The following is a 23,508-nucleotide window of genomic DNA, read 5'->3' as shown; positions in this document are numbered from 1 at the left end:
AGAATCTAGTTATATCTCATAAGCAGTTACTTATCTGAGTATCTTTAGAATATGTCTGGGCACCTGGTAACATATTGTGTATGACCTTTACCTGTCTTTGAGGCAAATGCTCTAATTCAGAAAAGGAGACTTATGACAAAGCCAGCAAGTTAACTTTCCAAATCACAAAGTGAATAAATGAAAGAGATTTCTTGATTCTATATTAGAAGTTATAAACTAAACAAAAATAAAAATATAAAAGCAGTGAGAAGCGCTGTTTTGAGGCTGAGTGCCAAGCTTTCTTGTCTATAGGTTAATGATGTCCGTTCTGTAATCAACAATCATTTTTTCTTTTTCAAACAGTTTAGTATATTTAAATTCACTACCAGCTTTGAAATTTAGAAACACCAAGAAGGAAGAGTCTACCTAGAATAAGTAGTTGCTACTTTAGAAAGTGTGGCCACTTGGCTACCAATAGTTAACACCTGAGGAGTTGCAGGAGGGTGAGGTCCACTCTTAGGTAGGTCTTCCAGAGCACTGTCAAACCTAAGTTTTCAGAAGTAAAATATATAAGGCAAAGGAAATATTAATGAAAAGTACAAAAGACATTTATCATCTATACCATCTTTTAAATGTCTACTAGTTCAATTTTGGGAACACTATTGGTTTTCTTTTACTTCACATCTACAAATGGTTAAAACAAAACCCAACACTTCTGCCACCACAAAATATGGGCTGTTTTCCCCCAAAATTCTTTAATATGGCTACTTCTATGTAATAAAATATTACGCTTACAGGGGAAAAGGAGGTGGAAATTCCCATTCACTGACTACGTGTTTTGAATGCTTTAAAAAAACTTAGGCTCCAAGAAGTTAATTAAGTTGCCCAATACCATACATCTAGTAAGGGCCAGGTGGAATTTGGACCAGGTCTGCCTGTATTATTTCCACTATATAATGTTTTCCAGAACATTGTGAGACAGCTACCTAAAAGTGTCCTACAAGAAAGCAACCAAAAGTTTCACGTCAGAATGTTCTGTCTGTAGATCTGAAGTTATATGGATGTTGTGTATCTTGATGTAAACAAACTATTTTATCTGCTCATACAACAGATGGTGGCATGCAATCGTAGGGTTTTGAGTATTCTTTACTTTAATTTTCTGATATCTGTATTATTTTTTATATAGAATGCCAGAAGTAAGTTCTAGAAGAACTATTGCCAGGTAAAGAAAAAATGAAGAACTCAATGTTAAGTTCAAAAAAAAGAAAGCACCAAGTATAAAACTTTGGGAAGAAAAATAAAACAGGAAAAATACAAAATTAGCCATTAAAAAAAAAAAGTCTGTGGATAAAAAAATAGAATGGTCAGTCATGTTACACTGATTTTCAAATGGATTAAAAAATAGGAAAGGAGAGGTTATATTCCTGTTTTTTATTTCACATTAGTCATACCTTTACCAGAGTGTTGAAAAAACGTAGACAGTTGAAGAAAAATGTCATGATAGAACTAAAACATTAAGAGGTAGAGCAGAAAGGTTAAGAGACTAAGAAATATAAGAACCATAACATGGGTCAGCAAACCACGGCATGCTGGCCAAATTCAGGCCCTGCCTGTCTTTGTATGGCCTAAGAATAGTTTTCATATTTTTAAATGGTTAATGGTTAAGAAAATCGAAATAACAATACAATGACACACAAAAATTATATAAAATTCAAATTTCAGCATCCATAAATAAGGTTTTATTGGAACTTTATTGGAACATAGCCAGGTTCATTCTTCATATGTCTATGGCTACTTTCATATGATATAAGAACTGACTAACTGTGACAGACCATATGGCCTGAAAAATCTAGCACATTTCCTATCTGGACCTTTACAGAAAAAAATTTGCTGACCCCTGTCCTAGAAAATAACTTCTCTACACAGCTACCAGAGTGAACTCTGAAAAATACAAATGCCATCATGTCTGTTGCTTAGACCTTCCAGCCCTGCTCTAGGTGATCTTGGGCTACCTGTTCTTCAGCATTATGTCATGAAGCTTGTCCACTCTCTTTGGCTTGCTCCAGTCCACTGGGCCTTCCATCTCTTTTTGAAATAGGCCCTGCTTCTATCCCCCTCCTGGCCTCTGCACAGTCTCCTACTCCTCACTGTCCTCAGCCCTCGTTCTACCACACCCTCACTGGGATAACTCCAAGGCATCCTTCTGGCCTCAGTTTAAATGTCACCTCCTCCCAGAAGCCTCCCTGATTCCCCAAGCCACCTTAGCTGCCCCTGTCATGTGCTGTCATAGCAGTCTGTACTTTTCACTCATATAATTTGTTATTATTATTATACAATTTGTGTCGTTATTTGTTTAAATCCAGACAGTCTCAGAAGACTAGAAGCTCCCTGATACCAATAGTTACTGATATACATGAAGTGTAACAAAGTGCTTACCATAAAGTTAACAAATATTTGTGAAATAAAAGCTTGAAATTTATTTTTTCCAAATAACGAATTCACAATATTTGTAAATTGAAAAGTATTTGTACCTTCTAGAGACTGTGTCACAATTCTGACTAAACAGATTTTTGCCTAAGTGGACACATGATAACTTGAAAGAAATGAATAGTGCTCCCAAAATACCTTTAAATAAATATTTTAATATTAAAAATTTATAAATATTTCAGGAAAAAAGAAAATATGGTTATAAATTATTATCAATATCTACATATTACCACAGGACAGATTAAAAAAAAAAAGAAAAGGGAGTGAGTTGGAGAAGTTGAGTCTTCCAACATCTCCGTGAAATATGCTGATTGGAAAAAAGCTGAGTGCCATTTGAGAATAAATTTCATATAAATCATGAAATACCTTTGAAGATGATCTCCAAGTCATCTTCCAAGCAAACGCACTTGGGAAGTTTCCCATGTGTTACACGTATTGATTATCTCTTCATTGCTTAGCCAAACTCTAAAAACCTGACTTAAGACAAAATCTTAAACTACCTCATTTACTATGGAACAAACATCAGTATCTGTTCTCATTCTGACATTCCCCAGTGTTTACTCCTTTTAGGTTGGAGGAAGCTCTGATTAATAGCATATCTGCAGCAGCCAAATTTTCTGCCTTGTCTTGCTTAAATGAGTTTTCATTTCTCACCAGAGAGGGTTATGAAGACTTCCTCTTTCCCAGATAAAGTCTTTCCCTTTTGGCTTGCTTTTCTCAGGATACATGAACAAAGAGCTATTCATGCATTGTGTCTATTTCTGCACCATCTCTGCACTTGTTCATTACGGACCCTTGTGAACAATCTGTCCAGCAAATCAGGTGTGAGTTGTCCATCTACTAATTTACCATCCTTACCATCCTGTAGGACCAGTAAGAAGAATTCTTTTTCTATCCCCTAGTCCGGACAACTGCCCAAGAGCAACATTCTAATGCTGTGTACTCCATCTCCTCCCTTAATCTCAGTGGCCTCGATTAATCCATCTCTCCTTCTCTACTGGATGCTTTGTGTCCTCTTTTAAAATGCAGTAGTTTCTCTTAAAAACAACAGACTATCTTTACTTTCTATTTTCCTGTTCCACTTACCAGCCAGACTCTGAAATAACATTATACTCACTTGACTGTCAGTCTTCAGCCATCTCAACTAGACCCCAACCCCCAACACTCTATGAAACTGCATCTTGCTAAGGTCACTGATGACCTTCTTGTGGCTAAATTCAATGGACAATTTGCATTCCTCATTTTAAAAACTGTGGTAAAAAATACATAACATGAAACTTACTATCTTAACGATTTTCAAGTGCACAGTCAGTAGTGTGAAGTACGTTCACATTATTGTGGAAGAGATCTCCAGAAGTTTTTCATCTTGCATATTCGAAACTCTATACCCATTGAACAACTACCCCTTCCCCCTCCCCCTAGCCTGTGGTAACCAGCACCATTCTACTGTTTCTATGAAGATGACTACTTTAATTCTTTTTTTGGAGACGGAGCCTCACTCTGTCACCCAGGCTGGAGTACAGTGGCACAATCCCGGCTCACTGCAACCTCCACCTCCCTGGTTCAAACGATTCTCCTGCCTCAGCCTCCTGAATAGCTGGGACTACAGGTACGTGCCACCACGCCTGGCTAATTTTTGTGTTTTTAGTAGAGACGGGGTTTCTCCATGTTGGTCAGGCTGGTCTCGAACTCCCGACCTCCAGTGATCCGCCTGCCTTGGCCTCCCAAAGTGCTGGGATTACAGGCGTGAGCCACCACACCCAGCCCGAAGATGACTACATTAGATACCTCCTAAGCCTGACCCGAAGATGACTACATTAGATACCTCCTATCAGTGGAATCATACAATATTTGTCTTTTTGTGCACATTCCTCATTTTACTTAGTGTCTGGCTCAATTGACTACTGCTTCTCTTTTCCTGTCATTTGTGCCTCAACCCTATTTACCTGCCTGTTTTTAGTAGTATTTCACTGGCTATTCTGTTGCCCGAGAGTTCTCTGTCCTAGGCTTTATTTCTCTGTACTCTGCTATCATTAGTACAGTGACATTACTCTGTCCTGTAGCTTTAACACCACCTAATGTCCAGATTTATATCTAGCCCAGCTGTCTCCTATGAGCAGTAGCCCATATTTTGAATTGCCCTTTAGTTATTAATACCTCTAATATCTCTCTGTCTCAAATCATCTTTCACCATGTCCAAATGACTCTACTTCCAAATTTATATTTTTAATCTATCAGTGGTGTGATGGGTCCCCTACCAGGTTACTTAAGGGTGTTATATTCAATGCTTGAAACTTGAGGGCCAGGCAGTTAGCTAAGGCCATGGTGCCTAGCCGAGAAGCAGGGGTCCCTGAGAACGCAAACATCCTGAGGCATGGCTGGGAATATACCAAGGAAAAAAGTCCCAGCACACTCACACACGCGCGCGTGCGCACACACATACACGGCAAAGAGCCAGAAAATTAGCTTAAAAGCAGCCTAGAGATGGGAGGCGGTGTGGATCTCTTGGAGCCATACTGCTGCTGTCCAGCAGTGCCCTGTATGTATGTCCTAATAAACTCATCTACTCATCAAGCTGGACTTGTCTGAGTCATTCTCTTGGCAACGTCCCAGTTTTCCCAGTTTGCGGAGGGTTGGGGGGGCATTACAGTCCCAAGTTTTTCTCATTACGCCATCCATCTACCCCATTTCTCTGCTACCACCCTCTCTCATCCAGACTATGATAAGCACTAACTTATACTAGTGATTTAAGAACTGTCTAACTGCTCTCTTGCTTCCTCTCTTGCCAAATCCTGCCCCTTCCAGCCCCTGTGTTTTCTGGCATGGTTTAGTATAGCCCATGTGCCTTAAGAAAAAACAACAAAACACATTTTATCAAATCATTCTTTTGATTAAAACCTTGCAACAAATTCCTACTGCAGTTAGGATAATACCCAAAGTGCTTAACATTCTCTACAAAATCCCCAAATGACCTGTTATGATCAACCTCTCAATTATCTTTCCACACCAATTTTCCCTTTATTCACTGAACTCCAGTCACATTAGACTACCTGTACAATGTCTTGAACAAACTAAGTTCTTCCAGGATTCAGGCTCTTGGTCATTAATGATAATATTATTACTTTTACTTCATTTTTTAACTTACATGTAAATCATTTGTTAATAATAAAAGCAAATATTTTTTCATCGCTTAATATGTATCATCATATTTAATCCTTCCAATAATCTTTCAACCCTGGTACTAAAATTATCCTTGGTAATTTACTAAAGTTAGTACTTTGGTATATGGTGGAGCTACTGTACTGGCACCCATGGTTAGAATAACTTCAGTGGAATGAGGAGAACAAAAACCAGGCTGCAGGGGCCTGGTGTGGTGGCTCACACCTGCAATCCCAGCACTTTGGGAGGCCAAGGCAGGTGGATCACCTGAGGTCAGGAGTTCAAGACCAGCCTGGCCCACATGGCAAAACTCCGTCTCTACTAAAAAAAATATAAAAATTAGCTGGGTGTGGTGGTGGGTGCCTGTAATCCCAGCTACTCGGGAGGCTGAGGCAGGAGAATCACTTGAACCTGGGAGGCGGAGGTTGCAGTGAGCCAAGATCCTGCCATTGCATTCCAGCCTGGATGAGAGAGCGAAACTCCGTCTCAAAAAGAAACCAGGCTGCAGGATGGTAAAGTTCTCTATCAGTAATAAAATTTCAAAATGTTAATTTGGGTCATCCAGATTTTGATGGAATTATATGCAAACTATGTTCTAAGAAGAAATCTGTCACAAAGGCGAACCTTAAAAAAATCTTAAAAATAATGCAAACATTTTCTTTTACAACATAAAAATGGCATCTTCAATTAAAATTTTAAATGCTTCCTATTTCTGAATATAAATATGATAAAATGATCAAATAGACTAGTGACTTATTACATACCCACACGACGAGTTTTCAATAAGAGGAAAAATTCACAAACCTTGAAATATACGTTTTATTAAAAGGTAAAGGAGGAAAATGACAATAAATTGTCCTTGGTATTCTACTTCCACAAAGCAAACTTTTATGTAATAATATTGCTAAGCAGAAACTAGAATATATCAGAGTCATAGCTAGATTCTGCCCTTTTGGGGTTCACTGGCATAGCAAAGCTATTTATTTTAGCCAAGGAAACTGCTAGGCATGTGAAAAAAATAAGTATTTTCTGCTGGCTTCCTGACAATAAATATGTTGAGTTTGCTCATTTGTAACTATGATCTCCCTTCTGGAAAACTAAATCAACTAAACCTCAGGTGGGAATTTCTGGTACTCTCAATCATAAGCTATCCATTTATTAATTGGTTTTCAATAGTCTTTGTTTCTGTAGCAGCCTGAAAATGTTACTTGAGCCTGCTAATTCTACCTTTATTACATAGATGGCATCTTGAGAATTTAAAAATAAGCAAGTAGAGTTATCCTTGCTTTGCACATGGCAGACAAGGAGGACTGGATCTTAGAGGCTAAAAGGTTATGAAATAAATTATCAAACATGAAAATACTACCCAAAATGAGGTTGATTTTTTGTAAGAGCAAAGAAGGACTAACTCAAAGAAATCATTTTTCTAGGAGCTTCCCACTTACTTAAGCAAGGAAAAGATAGGCAAACAAAAAGGGATATTGCTGAAGGAATTGGAACTTATTATTTGTTGTTATACAGTGAACGTTTGTGTCCCCCCAGCCCCAAATCATATGTCAAAATCCTAACGCCCTATGTGATAGTATTAGGAGGTGAGGCCTCTGGGAGATGATTAGGTCACACAGGCAGAGAGCGCTCATGAAAGGGGTCCCTTATAAGAGATACCTCAGAGAGCTCCCTCTCTCCTACCATATGAGGATACAGTGAGAAGGCATCATCTATGAACTAAGAAGCAGTCCCTCACCAGACACTGAGTGTACAGGTACCTCGATCTTGACTTCCCAGCCTCCAGAACTATGAGAAATAACTGTTTGTTGTTTAAGCCACCCAGTCCATGATATTTTTGTTCTAGCAGCTTGATCTGACTAAGACATTTGTATTAGGGAAAGAATTTCCTCTTTGATGATATTTTCCATTTTCTCACATCTTTCAAACTATGGCTTTATAACTCTTACACATTTCTCTGCTGTTGCCACTCCATAATGGATTTTATCATTATTAAGTGTTCAATACTTAATATTTTGTAAATTCTTTAGTTATCTAGAGTATTCTTTGATCTCTATATAGAAAATGTTCTATAGGGTCTAAAGCCAGGTAAAGAATGAGCATTTTTTATCTATACAAAATGCAAATATAATATGAAGATTTTAACGTGTAATGACAACTTAAAAGTCACTTGGAGCAATCCCCTGATAAAAGCATGACTCCCTCAGTAACTGCAGGGCACTTACCACTAACCTTTGGCCCTCTCACTTTCCATCATCAGTTTCTTCACTGGATCATTCTGATCCATGACTTCAGAGATTTATACTAGTTAGAAATAGCTTCTTATATGTGACAAAAATCTGCCATTTTGTAGTTTTAACATAATCCTAATATTAGAAAAAGAATTTATAAACAATAAAGGTATTTTTCAGATTCGGGATAAAGAGGAGAAAGGCATGTATTATTTAATAAATAGTGTTAAGTCAAGTTACCTGTTTGAAAATATAAAAGAATACGTCTGAATGTGTCCCACTGAACAGCCACCCACAGTGAATCCTTAAAGAGGCCACATGTCTTGAGAAAGCCAGCACAGTACCTCATGCTCCAGTGAGAGTGTCCTGTTGGCATTACAGAACAATAGCCAAGTGGCTACACACTCACTAGCCAAATATTCTGGATCATATGTCCCAAACGCACCCATTCAATCACTCATTGCATTCACTCATTCATTCAATAACAAAAAACAATTACTTGAATTCCCACTTTGTGCCAAGCACCTTCACACATCCTATTGTCTACTTTAATTTCCTGCCCTCATGAAGCTTACATTCTAGTATCCATTTTCCTGTAATGGACTCTGAGGATTAATCACATCATGCTTCCCACTTACCCTTGTTTACCTGCCACAATCAGAAGTTCAAATCCCTTGGGTCATCCAGCATCTCCTGGACTCTTATTTCTTCACTGCTTTGTGTATCTCCTAATCTAATCACTTCACCATCTATCACAGCCCTCACAAACCCATTACTGTTTTACTATACCTTCTTTACAGTCTCTTCAAACAGATGTTGCTTTTTCTTTCATATGCCTTATTCTTATAAACCTGGAGATGGAGCAAGTGTCCTCCTCATTACTGTTTTAACTACTATCAGTCATCTTTGATCCTCCAAAATCCCAAGTCCTTGGAGGCTCACTATACCATTCACTATAGGGCCTTCCCACTGTTTGTCTCTACCTCACCCACTGTTTTAGCTCCTGACTGCCTTCCTCTTCACCCCATTCCAACAATCTCTCATGATTATTTCAATAATCATGCACAATCACTGAATAAATAACCTTACTATTGAATTGTTTGATTTCTTCACTTTAATGATACATTCCCCTAAGGCTAAGCCTTACACCTAGAATATATCAGCATGCACTCCAAAATTCATAACCTTTAATTTTTCATCAACAAGTACAACATGTCTGAAATCTAAATTTTAAGGACCCTTTTTTTTCCTCACTCAGTCTGCTATCCCTCGATTCTATTAGCTTTTTTTACTGTACCAAATTGACTCTGACCAATCTCATTAGCTCTTATCAACTGAACTAATTCTTTACAAATTCACTGACTTACCAATTTTCCACTCTCCATTACCCTCCACCTCAATATTTCTATACACCTATCAGCTCTTTGTCTAAAATACAAACCTATCCAATGCTCTCCATCTCCACTGCCACTACATTGCTTATCTGAACTATGGGGATACTCATAACAGTCTCCTGCTCCCATTATTTCTCCCTTACAATTAATTTTCCATAGTATTCAGGGTGATCTGTTAAAAATATACATCAGATGTTACTCCTATGACTACAGTCCTATATTGGGCCTCTCATTTAATTAGAAAAATAATCTGAACTCCTTAACACAACCTACAAGGCAGTCAATAATCTGGCCCCTGAGTACTTCACGTAATCTCTTATCATTCTGTCTCTTATTTACTATGCCCCATTCATAATGGCTCTTTTTCAGTTCCCTAAACACACCAACTGATTCCTGTCTCAGGGACTCTGCATTTGCTGTTCCTTCTGCCTGGAGAGGACATCTCCACATCCTCATGACTGACTCTTTCAGGGCACTCACATTTCAGCTCAAATTATTTTCTTTTTCTCTAACTAGAGTCTAATGACCTTACTCTTCCCCTCCCCTCATTATATTCATGTTGTACTATATTACTTTATAGAATATATCATAACCTAAAACTGTATTTTTCCTTATTTTCCTTTTTCATTGCATGTCTGCTCTACTAGACTAAGTTCATAATAGCATCTTCATTTTCCTAGAAACCAGCACAAATAAGTGCCTCATAAACATTTGTTGGACGTATTTATTATATATAATATATGCTAAACATGAGCAGGGGCCACTGCTAATAAGTGAGGCCTGAGACTAAAGGAGAATGTTTAGAGGAAAAGACCCACTTGGATTTAGGTCAAAGAACCAGCCCAGATTATCGTCTAATATCAACTACTCATATAACTGCTTCTCACCCAAAGACAGCTTAATTGTCTCAGTGAGTCTTCAGTTGATTTTCTTGGGATTATCTATGTAATTGTCAGAGATTAACGTCAAGGACTAGCATAATATGCCACCAGGTGAGATTTACTAGTGCAGAACAGAACTACTGCTTATCATTTTAGGAGCCATACGACATGACTAACTCTTACTGGGTTTATTTTCTTTTAAAATTCCCACTTCTCCTTTGATATTTAGGTTTGCCAACCTTATTGGTTATTGAACATGTATGCTATATCTCCCTGCTTCATGGTACTCACAAATATGGGCAGCAAGTTGTGGATCTCCTCATCCAAGTCACTAATTAATCCTTTAAACAATATTCTTTGGTTAAACTACTTCAACCTTTTATGCATTTAAAAACATACTTATCAACCTCATTTCATTATTAAATTCAAAGGAATTTTAAGGGTCTTTCTTTGATCAATTGTTAAAATTAACATCTCTCCCAATCTATCCAAAATGTGTTAAGTTGGATGTGATGTGTTTCTTGAGAACTTATTCTGGGTCTTGGCAATTCTGCCCTCCTCTTCTCAGTGCTCACTAGCCATGCTTTTCAGAATGCCTGCTTGACTTTTTTCCAGATGATCTCAAGTTCAAATTAGTTTATGGTTAGAAGTTAACTTTTTTTTCCTTTTTTGAAAATCAGTACTATATTTTCCTTTTACCACTCTTCTATTTTCTTTCCCATCCAGGATTTGAAACAAACGCAGATAGTACTCAGTGAATCTCATCTGTAAGTCCTCTACATACCCTGAGCGGTAAGTCATTAAGAAAAAGAGTCTAGTGAGAACCATTTAGAATCACTTTCTGTATGGGGGGCTTCAAATCCCTCCAGGATATAAATAAACCTCTGGGTTTTGGTTATTTTTATTTGCTGTCTTTCAACACAGAGCATTTATTAGTTTCACCATCACCCTTGACGACATCACTTCTGTTTTTTACTTATCCCTTGAATAGATGTTATCTGATTGTTTTACCTTTCATATATAAAGGATTTTTGGTTTTACTGTTGGTGGGTGTACTTTTTGTAAACATACCTGTGATGCTGCTCCAACATCCCTGCTAAGAGCTTTGCTGATTTTAACAAGTATGTGATTCCACTGCTGTAAGCCAAGGGTAAACTTGATTCCACCAAATTTGCTTAAGTGTTACTTCTCTGTATTAAAGCTTCAAGTTCACTCACTGTCTAACCAATGATACACAGCTACCTGAAGACATTAAAATCTTTCAGAAATTTATTCTCAATTTTTTTCTTCTTATAAATTACTAGCATATCAGGATAAAGAATAAAGTGTGTGAAGAGGCAAAATAAGTGTGTACCACTAACTTGAAAATTCCGCAACAGGTGTCACCTTAGTTTTAACACATTCTTCTGTTCAAAGATATAAATTCAGAATCTTTGGGAGTAGTTAATTAGGTGCATCTGTGAGATGAACACCTATTACAGAGTTGGACACAGGAGTAGCATTCAAACAATACCCTTTAATAGATACAAAAATAGAAAAACACAAAAGAGAATACATGGACACATGAGACTAATTTTTAGATAAAAGCAATTTGTAGATAGTTCTTTAATTTGACTAAAAGGAAAGTGAAGATGTCTAAATATCCATACCTGTCATATGCTTTATACTATATAATATAATATATTGGTTCAATTTTCTTTTATAAAATCATATCATTCTAATAAACAAACCTTCACATAATATAAAAGTAGGAAAACTTGGACTTCTGAAACCTGCAATGTGTCTGAAATACATAAACTAGAATAGCAGCAAAAGATAGAAATTAAGCCTTCCATGATTTTGAAGTCTGCCTATCATCAATGCTCTTAATTAACTTTTGAAGTTGTGATTTCTTTTGAAGAAAAAAAAAAACTAAAGTGCAGGAGTCTTCTTCAATACTGAGTTTTAGTAAACATAAGTTTCTTTAATTATCTGGTTTAATTCAATAAAATAATTTTATTGTGTAATTTACTTCTCTAAAGGTGAAATGGAAAACAACTTATCCAAACAGCATTATAAGAGAAGGACTACCGGTCTGACAAAATTCTGCCTCTAAGGAACGTGGTGAATATTCTGGGATTATGAAAGCCAACTTGGCATATTACGAACACTGACTTTTATAAATAACAGATCTTTATAAGTGCTAATAGTACACGTTTAATTTGGTAAACAACAACAACAACAGGCATTTCCAGCATTAAACAGAATTAAACAATTTGGATGTGAAAATACATAGGAACTATGTTTCTTGGCTCAATAATTTTTAAGTACTAGTCTCACAAGGAACTGAAGTGTAGTAATTACTTATGTTCAACAGATGGCGACCTTTACATTGTAGTCAGCAAAACAGTATTTGCATAAAACAGTATACTCAACCAGCAGAAAATCAAAGATCAATTACAAATATTCCATATTTTGCAAGAGACAAAAATTACTTGATCATATACACCATTTTTTGACAGGTGGTTTTTTTACAGGTTGGCAAACATATTTTGTGGGAATGTATCTTGCTGTTCTATTTTTTGGGGCAAGTCCAATTGCTAATTCTTATCTCATGAAAATATGTGCAAATATCAGGCTAGGGAATAATTCCTGCTTTCTTTGCATAGCTTATTAAGAATAGCAGCTTTAGGTAATATACTCAACTAACGTGTCTTAATAAGGATATGTCACAAGACACCAGTATGTTTGTGAAACACAGCAATAATGAAGACATGGGATGGGTCAGCAAACTATTTCTTCATTAATCTATTTTGTGTGGGTCAATGAATATCAACAAAGTTTTAAAAAAACTTACAAAACAGTATGTTCAGAAATATGTAATTTATGCTTCCTAAATTTTCAATGAATGTACAAAGGTAATAGGTTTCTCCTTAAGAAGTAACATTAACTCTATTCTTCCAGTGCTAAAATTCCATTCTGATGGCCTTCAGCCAGAAATCATGTGGGCATTATTTGGTGCTAGAAGATAGCCTACAAGAAGACGGTTTCCCGGCTCAACATAACTGTTTTAGTTTGTGTATTGTAATTGGTAACCTGAGTTTGAATTGTTTTTCTACTAAAGGGAGAAGCAGTCACTCCTCTCCTAATGAGCATTTTAATTCTTTGACAATTGGGAAGCCATATCATACCTTATAATTCTTAACCATTGATATGGTTTGGCTCTGTGTCCCCACCCAAACCACATGTCAAATTGTAATCCCCACGTGTTGAGGGAGGGACCTGGCAGGAGGTACCTGGATCATTGGGGTGGTTTTCCCATGCTGTTCTTGTGACAGTGAGATTGTTCTCATGAGATCTGGTTGTTTAAAAGTGTGTGGCACCTCCCCCTTCTCTCTCTCTCCTGCTCCACCATTGTGAAGATGTACCAGCTTCCCCTTCACCTTCCACCATGATTGTAAGTTTCCTGAGGACTCCCACCCATGATTCCTGTTAAGCCTGTGGAACTATGAGTCAATCAAACCGCTTCCTCATAAATTACTGTCTCAGGTAGTTCTTTTTAGCAGTATGAGAACAGACTAATACAACCATAATAAATATGTGAAAAATCAGAACCCATCATTCTTTAAGCAAGGGAGATAAAGAAAAGACTGATAAAAATGTTTTGATCATTATTTTAGATATCCTTTTGCTAAACTAAAATACCACTTTATACTTATATATAGCATTAAAAATTTGAAACTACAAAGATTGATATTATTATAATATAGTAGAAAATTGAGAACATGGTGAGATCAAGAAAAACATTTTTTAACTTAAATATACTTTGACAATATGATTTTTTGGCATAAATGTGTGTGTGTGTGTGCATGTATAACATAATTATCTCTAAATAAAATTTTCTATGGTCTCCCATAATTCTCTATTCTGGTAGGCCATATATTATTAATAACTTTCTATTATTAATAGTTACTGATAAGATGGCTGTTGCCTCTTTTAAATCAATGTTGTAGATTAGATTCTTATATTTAAACATTTCCTTATTAATGATAAAATTTTCTCTATTAGTATTTCTGTTCAGAGCACTAACTAAGCATCTCATATACCTATTTCTAAAATTGTTATTCTCTCCTCATGGGAATCACCATGCTCTTCATGTTGAAACACACCAAAAACACAAAGGAAGACATTAAAAAACAAATGTTCATTTAATGAAAAAAAGTCTTTCACTAATTAACAAACAGAAAATATCAAGAAAAAAGTGTCAACTTTTGGCAATTAGATTACTCCAACAAAGTACAATTCCCCTTTCAAGTGACTTAGGTATGGTTTCACTTTACTTTCAATATAGGTATTAATGTTTTGATATTTTAATGTCTTGATATTTATATCGAACTTATATTCCATTAGAGATAGTGTGTGCCACGCTGTAAACAACTTCCCTAAAATTAGAGAATTGGAAAAATATGCAATTATATATAATTAGTAACTTTTAGTACCAAACATGGTGGGGCATACTAAAATTCTCACATTCAAAGAACTTTTACTGTAGTTGAGAAAAGAGAATATGGAGACAGATACCTGTCATCCAAAGGTAAAAAGGAAGCACCAAAAGAGAGGTGACAACAATGCTTCCAATTGGGTCCAAGTCAATGATTCTACTTAAGAATAATTTTTTCTTAAATGACAATCTGTCAAAATGAGGATTAGTATACAAAGACAGTTAGTGTATGTTATGGACCGAACTGTATCCCTCCATTATTCATATGTTGAAGCCCTAACCCACAATGTGACTATTTGGAGATAGGTCCTTTAAAGAGGTAATTAAGGTTAAATGAAGTCATAAGGGTGGGACCCTGACCCAATAGAACTGATGTCCTCATGAGAAGAAGAGACCCCAGAGCTTTCATGAGAAGAACAGACCCCAGAGCTTTCACTCTTTCTCTGTGCCCCCACAGAGAAAAAGCCATGTGAGGAGACACAGTGAGACAGTGGCCATACACAACCGTTAGGAAAGGCCTCAACAGACACCAACTCTGCTGGCACCTTGACCTAGAACTTACAGTCTCCAGAACTATGAGATAATAAGTTTCTACTGTCCCACCTAACCAGTCTGTGTATCTTGTGGCAGCCTAAACTGACTGAAAACAGTATATTTCTAACTGAAGAAACAGTTCACCAGAGATGAATTTTATAATCTTAACAACCACCTTCAAGATTAGTCATTTCATTGAATTGCTAGGCCTTTACTTACAGTTGCAGCTACAGTTGCATCCAGGAAGAAATACGATGACTACTAGAATGCCTTTTCCTTCCAATTTATACTATTACACTAAGACTTTTGTTTTTAAAGAGCTCAAACTTCGGTAGGAAACTTAAGACATGTAGACCAATATCCATAAGACAAATTAGAAAATCAAGTGTCAAATGAGAGGTAAAAATTGTGTAGCATGTAAGTTCAGAGGTGACAAAATTATTCCTACTGTGGGGTGGGGCAGTGGAGAGGGCGCTCTGTAGGTGAGAATGTATGATTGTGGGAAGGAATAAGAAAATCTAGGCCAGACGCAATGGCTCACACCGACGATCCTAGGACTTCGGGAGGCTGAGGCAGGCAGATTGCCAAGAGTTCGAGACCAGCCTGGGCAACATGGCAAAATCCTGCCTTTACAAAAAATTAGCCAGGTGTGGTGGTGTGTGCCTGTAGTTCCAGCTACTTGGGAGGCTGAGGCGGGAGGATCACTTGAGCCTGGGAGGTCGAGGTGCAGTGAGCCATGATGGCGCCACTGCACTCTAGCCTGGGTGACAAAGCGAGACTCTGTCTCAAAAAACAAAACAAAACAAAACAAAACTTGGAAAAGGGAATATTTACACTCAATGCAGTCATTCTCAGTAGCACACAATTGGCATATTGGGCTGGATGATTCTTCAGTCTGTGGGATTCTTCAGTGCATTACAAGATATTTAGCATCCTCCTTCCTTTTAATGTCTGTACATTAGCCTACACATTTCCAAAGGCTACTCAGCAACAGAATCTCCCCAGGAGAGAACTAGAAGTAAACTTTTAAGGATGTGAAGAAAACAGATGTGTTCTAACAAAATTTATTAAGTGAAATTAAATGGCTAATACTTAAGATTCCAAATGCTATATATGGAAGACTATAACATGCAAAATCATAATATTTTAAGTACTGCTTTCCTGTTTTAAGTGTTCATTACATTTACTCAGTAAATCCTAATTTCCCATTTTGAAGCTTCTCATTTCATTGCTTCATTCACATATCTCTGATTATATTTGATTTCTAAATACATTTGCTTGCTCATTACTCTTAGGCTGCCTGTGATGAAGTCAACAAATAAACATCCTTAATTTAAGGCAAAAAAATAAAGTAAATGCATGTTCCTTTTGACTTCCACATGACTTTCAGTCCTCCCTTAACTGATCTTTTACTTTGAAGACTTCTAAATGCTGTGTTTGTGATCTGGGTTGAAGATCTAAGGAGAAAAGATGAGAAGTGACCAAGGCAAAGAAAGTGATGAGAAGATGAATAAAAGAGAACCTGTGCAACTGAGGTCTAAACTGGGGTCTACAAAAATATGATTCTTTTGCAGATCAGGTTCTCCAGAAAGCAGAGCTTAGCGCTTAGCATGCAGGATGCTTATTAAGAAATGTCTCTAGGGTCAACAACCGTGAAGGGGAAAGGACAGAAAAGGAAGCAGGAGTGGGTAGGAGAGGTGGAGTTGCAAACAAAACTTAGGACAGCCTCAGCTGATACCACAGCAGCTCAGGAGCTAGAATGGTCCCTCCAAGTTGGTCTTAATTGGGATGAAATAACCAGGTTTTTTACTTCCCTCTCTTCCCACTTATCAATTAGTTCACTGCATGTGGGCAGCACCACCAAGCCTAGGGTCTTGAAGAGGGACTGTCTGCAGCTGAGGTGATTTGTGAAGGGGCTGGCACGTGAAGGCTGTCTGCCTACGACACTCCCATCAGCAGAGGTATCAAGTCCTCCACTGAAGTGGTATCTGAGTGGGCAGCACAGTGTCCACCACAGATTCCAACTCCATATTTTAAAGAAGTGGAAACTTGGGGACAGAAAGTAATCAGTGAGTTACAAATCTCAGTCTAAACCCCAGAATTTATCACTTGCTGCTTCTTACTACTTCTAACCAAGAAAAAAATGCTATGATCCCTATTTTGGAAAGAATGTGCAAGGAAATTATTTACTTGGTTTAAGGAATTTTCTGGAATGGGATGAACAAAAGCAAAGTGTCCAGACAATTCTAGCTAAGATTTTACAGAGAAGACTAAATCCTCAAATTCATCACTATTGTGAAGAGCATCATATGTCAAATGTAATACACCAAAGTGTTTTCGTATTTTCTGTATGGCTTTATGTATGCTCTGCAGGATATTCTGTTTGTGTTCCCTACATTCATGTTACCAACATATATTTATGCCTCTCTTTTCTAGGTCTTCATTGGGTCTCAACAGGAAAAATATTAAATTGTTAATAATCAGGGCTGGTACCAACTAGATGAGCACACTGCAATTAGCAGCCTGACTAACCTCCCTGCTTCTTCATTTTCTAATTTTATTTGCAAGCAGTTAGATATGATATAATAATTTCCCATTTAAAATGCTATGGATAGGAATGGGAATATAAGTGTTTTGTCTATGTACAGGAGTTCTGTTTTTCTAGCACACTTCCCTGCCTAGCCTGGACTCCAGCCACACTGACCTTTCTGTTCTGTATTCTTGCCATGCTCCTTTCCACACTTGTCTCCCCACCCTCAAGTCATCACACGGCTGACTCCTTTTCCACTCCCAGCTGCTGGCATTAAGGTCGTCTCCTCAGAGGTCCACATAATCTAAAGTAATCCTTCCCTGACTAAGCCAAACTTATTTTATATTAACTTATTATCTTGGTAACACAATTACCTCAGATCATCTTGCTTATACATTTATCTGTTATTCATTACTGTATCCCTAGTACATTGATTAGTGCCTGGCATTTACATATACAGCAATTATGCATTTGAAAGAATGAATGCTGGCAATGAGTAAATATTTACAATTTATATGATTTTAAATACACATCAGAAACACAATAATTACAAAATTACATATCTGGAGGGAAAATCAATTCATTCTATATTTTTGAATAATTTTGAAAAAAAGAAGGAACTGCTACTCTGTGTCCTAATACCACAATTTGTATTAAATAAACTCTAAGATGTCTATCTATCTGAGCCTTCCTAAAGGGCACAATGATGCACGAAAGAATGCTTTTGTTTTCCACAAATACTGTAATTTTTGAGGTAACAAAAATACATTGGACCATGTGTGAGACAGTCTTCTGAATAAAACACTGTAAGAAAAAAATGTTGAGGCCAGGCATGGTGGCTCACATCTGTAATCCCAGCACTTTGGGAGGCCGAGGCACAGGCGGATAACTGGAGGTCAGGAGTTCGAGACCAGCCTGGCCAACATGGTGAAACCCTGTCTCTACTAAAAAAACTATAAAAATTAGCTGGGCAGGTGGTGCACACCTGTAATCCCAGCTACTCAGGAGGCTGAGGCAGGAGAATCACTCAAACCTGGGAGGTGGAGGTTGCAGTAAGCCAATACCGCACCATCGCACTCCAGCCTGGGTGACAGAGCACAACTCTGTCTCAAATTTAAAAAAAGGAAAGAAAGAAGGAAAAGGAAAGAAAAGAAAAGAAAAGAAAAGAAAGAAAGAAAGAGAAAGAGAGAAAGAAAGGTTGAAAACATTCTTAAGAGCAACTTCCCAATTTCACTTTAAAAACAAGCCTATAATGAAGAAAGTCTGTATAAGAGAGACAAACAAAAACAAGTCATAAATTAGGTCACTAGATTTACAATAATATTTTTGCAAGAAGCTTTTATAATTTTTGGCTAGCATTTAAGCTAGGAATATAAAATGTCCCAGGAGATTCACTGAACTCAGGAATTCATCTTCTGACAGGGTCAAATGGAATGTCCTTTATGATCCTGGCTGAATATTTATCCTCACACTCAAGTATGGATCATTCCATTTATCTAAGTCTATGCTTTTAATGAAACACTAAATACTTCATTTTTAATTAAGCAAGGTAATAAATTTTTATTTTAACTACATCTGTTTTAAGTTGTAACTCTATACATGTTCTCTTGTCTGTATTAGGGAAAATTTTTCCCATTTACCTAAAATTCTTTTGAGTCTTCTTTCTGTCAACTCTGTAGTTATTCTAGAAATTGGATTCTTGGTGGAAAATACCATGTTTACTCTACCACACCATTTATTTTTATGAGGCTTTAATTCCATCGTCTCTCAGACATCATCTTTTAGGATCCTGGAAGAATTACTGGGTATAGGAAAGCCTGGTCTAAGAAAGTAGATTTTCTTACAGAGGCCAGAGACACAGTTATAACTGGGATTGATGTCAGCATCATAAAAACACAAGCAGGCAGGACCTCTGTCTTAGTATCTGAAGAACTGATATGACAAAAGAAAGATGTCTTATATATCATGAGGTATACTAGAAATGAGCATAGATAAATCCTAGAATTATTTTTAAAATGCATTTGGCAGGCCAAATTTTATCAATCACTATCTAAAATTAATGTTAGTTTCTCCAAATTATCAAGCAGTTGTACTAGACTATAATGTCACTAATGTGAAAGAATACCTGGAAAAATAAAAATAGACCCTTGAATGTAGGCAAGGTCCTTCAGCGGTAATTTCACACAAACAATAATTCTATGTTGCACAATAGTCAACTGATTTTATGTTACTCACATAGGATACTACATATTGTAATAATTCAGGGGGAAAATCAAACATGATCCTTTACTGTGTCTTATTTATTTATTTATTTATTTATTTATTTATTTATTTATTTAGAGATGGAGTTTCGCTCTTGTTGCCCAGGCTGGAATGCAATGGTGCAATCTCGGCTCACCGCAACCTTCGCCTCCCGGGTTCAAGCGATTCTCCTGCCTCAGCCTCCCGAGTACCTGGGATTACAGGCATGCGCCACCATGCCCGGCTAATTTTGTATGTTTAGTAGAGATGGGGTTTCTCCATGTTGGTTAGTCTGGTCTTGAACTCCCAACCTCAGGTGATCTGCCCGCCTCGGCCTCCCAAAATGCTGGGATTACAGGCGTGAGCCACCGCACCTGGCCTGCCGTGTTTTATACCCATATTTTAGTAACCTCACAAAGTTAAAAATGATTTCCAAATGAAATGTCAGAGAATTGTTTATTTTACCCAGTTATACTGTAATAAGTCCTGGATGGCACTGTGTCTAGCCTCAAGGAAACAGAACAAGTACAAAGCTAAGTTAAAGGCAACTTTATTACAATACTTTTCCAAACTTCAAAATGCATTTATTACTAAATTTAGCTCTAATATATAATACACTATATTACAAGGCAGAAAGCATTTCTGGTCATATATTTAGCTTCCATGTATTGCCCAAAACACAGCTTCCTAGGAATAGCAGCAGTGCACAGTAGTTTACGTCACTAAGTAAAATATTTCTCTGATGTCTCACAATCATTCATATTGTAATTTATTTTATGTTCTTCTGATTAAAAAAAGCAAAGCTATCTTTTCCATATCTTATTAGTTAATACCTAGAAATTGTCTATATTCTAAAAATATCCACTAGAGATATTTCCTTTGATAGGAAATAGGATTTGCAAATCCAACCAAACCAAAGAATACTGTATTTCTCCATTGCAAATAGGGGTAAAATTCTCTTCTTTCCTTTTTCAGGAGCCAAATCTGGACCTCCTCCTCTTCATAGAGCCATCCTGAATAGTACCTACTTTAAAAGATACCTAAATCTACAATGCACGCACTCTTCTTTAATAAAGTCTTTGTTTATTCTTGCCTCCTTATATTTACTTATTTAGAATAATTTACAATCAACTTTGAATGTAACATAATAATGAACTTAAAAAGTAATCTTGGGAGATGTTAATAATATAAAGAAAGTATTTTCCAAATTAGACAAGGACTTTATTTGCTCATTATCCTCTGCTTCAACCAACCAACTAACCAAATTCAACTTATGAAAATAATTCGTTTTCCAAGATTACTACCCTAATCACAACAAAAACAGATACAAATCCACAAATAGATCTAGTCCCTTAATTTTCTATTTTTTTTTTTTTTTGGTTTTACATTTGTGAGCTACCAACTAGCACAAAACATGTTCATCTTCCTTTTCTCACAACAATAGGAAATTGTTAGAAAAGTATAGAAAAAGTTCTATTTTTTCATAAGGCAAATTTAATACAGATTTTGCTATGAAGTTGAAAAAAAAAAAGTAAATGAAAAGGTATGTGCTGGCTGCTTGGGGGGCAAGGCTCATAAATCACTGTACGTTAAGAGCACGTGCTGAAACTTCATGGTGCCAGTCACGTAATTTTGTGTATTTGGGACTAAAGACGTGAAGGGGTATCTTTTCCCTGTGGAAATACAAAAAAAAAAAAAAAAAAAGAGTGATAGAAGAGTCATAAGAAATAGAAGGAAAAAGGTTCTAGACTAATTCCATCATGCAGAAAACATGCCTTATAAAAGCTTAATTTCACATAGCTGTTTTATTAAGTGGCAAAAATTTTAAGGGTAGAGCATTTTTAGAAATATAGCAATTAATCCACAGATCCCTCTTGGAAACATACATTTTTATGTTCAAAATAAAGTGACTGCAAGACAACACACGAGCTCATTCACAGACATATGTATTGTTAGCAAAGCACCCCGAAATATACCCTTCTGCCCACTTCTTATTTCAATACTAGGGAAAACAAGCCTTAAAATCCAGACAATATCTACTACTTTTAAAATCTGCAAGTTGTACATTTAGGTCACACAAAAGGCACCAAAGTTAAATGCTTAGCTTCTAGCTGCAAAGACGAAATGCCATACCATTATACTTGACAATTTGAAAAACTAAATTGAGACCATTCGTGAAAGGAAAACATTCAATTGTCAAAAAGATAGAGAACTTACTTTGCCTTCTTTGTATTATCGGCTTCAGATTCTTTCACTGAAATATAATAAGCAATATCCAATATTAGTTTGTTTTGTTTAACTTCAAAATCACTTAAGCAATTACCTGCACCAATCAATATCAAATGTTCAACTTCCATGGAGCCACTAAAACGAATTCCATAGTAGCCTGTTATTGGCCATAAACTATAGTTAGTACAACTACTATTACATCTATACTTTTCAATGTTACTCTCCTGGGCTGGTGTTTTATTTATTTATTTATTTATTTATTTTTGAGACAGAGCCCCTCCATCACCCAGGCTGGAGTACAGTGGCGTGATCTCAGCTCACTGCAATCTCTGCCTCCCCGGTTCAAATGATTCTCCTGCCTCAGGCTCCCAAGTAGCTGGGATTACAGGTGGCTTCCACGATGCCCAGATAATTTTTGTATTTTTAGTAAAGGCGGGGTTTCACCATGTTGGCTAGTCTGGTCTCGAACTCATGACCTCATGATCTGCCTGCCTCGGCCTCCCAAAGCGCTGGGATTACAGGCGTGAGCCACTGTGCCCGGCCTGGGGTCTTATTTATATTACCCATGTTATGCACAGCATAATTTAAAAGCAAACTGTCTCGGGGTTGTTTTCTGACAACTACCAATCAGTCTCAATGCCACTCTCTGGGGCAAAAAAACATTCATCCATTAGGATACCTAGAAGTTCACTTACAATGTTCAGTCCCAGTGATCTGGGCAAGGATTCGGAAAGAGCGAGACTGAGTTGTTCCAGTCCTTGGACGCCAGTCTTCAGTATCCTCAATCAGTCTCTTCTTGCTGGCATCACTGTGAGTGGGTACATGATAAAACTCTGTATAGCGCTCCACAATGTGTTTTCTTGGTGGGCTAGGGTTAAGGAGAAAAAAAAAATTAAAAATTGTAAAGTTATATTAAAAGGATAAAATATCTTCTACTAAATTATTTATAATTTATATGATTAATCTTCAATATTCCTTTTATATAAACAGTTTGCTTTGCAAGTATATTCGGTCTCAAGTTTTTAAAAGATCTATCTAAAATAGGCGGGGCACGGTGGCTCACGCCTGTAATCCCAGCACTTTGGGAGGCTGAGGTGGGCGGATCATGAGGTCAGGAGATTGAGACCATCCTGGCTAACACAGTGAAACTCCGTCTCTGCTAAAAATACAAAAAATTAGCTGGGAATGGTGGCACGTGCCTGTAGTCCCAGCTACTGGGGAGGCTGACGCAGGAGAATCGCTTGAACCTGGGATGTGGAGGTTGCAGTGAGCCAAGATCGCACCACTGCACTCCAGCCTGGGCAACAGAGCGAGACTCTGTTTCACAAAAAAACAAAACAAAAAAACCTTTTAAATT

The 23,508-nt window shown here is 37.0% G+C and overlaps 1 protein-coding gene across 8 annotated transcripts in view; it reads right to left on the bottom strand.

Annotated features, from left to right (window-relative positions):
- Positions 1 to 23,508, bottom strand: part of PDLIM5 (PDZ and LIM domain 5) — a 216,282-nt gene that overhangs the window by 59,640 nt on the left and 133,134 nt on the right. For 5 of the 8 annotated variants that reach the window (NM_006457.5, NM_001256427.2, NM_001011513.4 and 2 more), the window contains 2 exons: positions 22,847 to 23,019; positions 22,140 to 22,176 (listed from right to left, as the gene is read on the bottom strand). In NM_006457.5, the coding sequence (NP_006448.5) occupies positions 22,140 to 22,176; positions 22,847 to 23,019 (210 nt within the window). Of the gene's footprint in view, positions 1 to 405; positions 526 to 20,359; positions 21,596 to 22,139; positions 22,177 to 22,846; positions 23,020 to 23,508 lie in introns of those variants that run through there. The other 3 variants (NM_001011515.3, NM_001011516.3, NM_001256426.2) reach the window with 2 other exon arrangements.

The sequence above is a fragment of the Homo sapiens genome, chromosome 4 (assembly GCF_000001405.40).
Source record: "Homo sapiens chromosome 4, GRCh38.p14 Primary Assembly".
Taxonomy (NCBI): Eukaryota; Metazoa; Chordata; class Mammalia; order Primates; family Hominidae; genus Homo; species Homo sapiens.
This window is presented reverse-complemented; position numbering and strand designations above follow the sequence as displayed.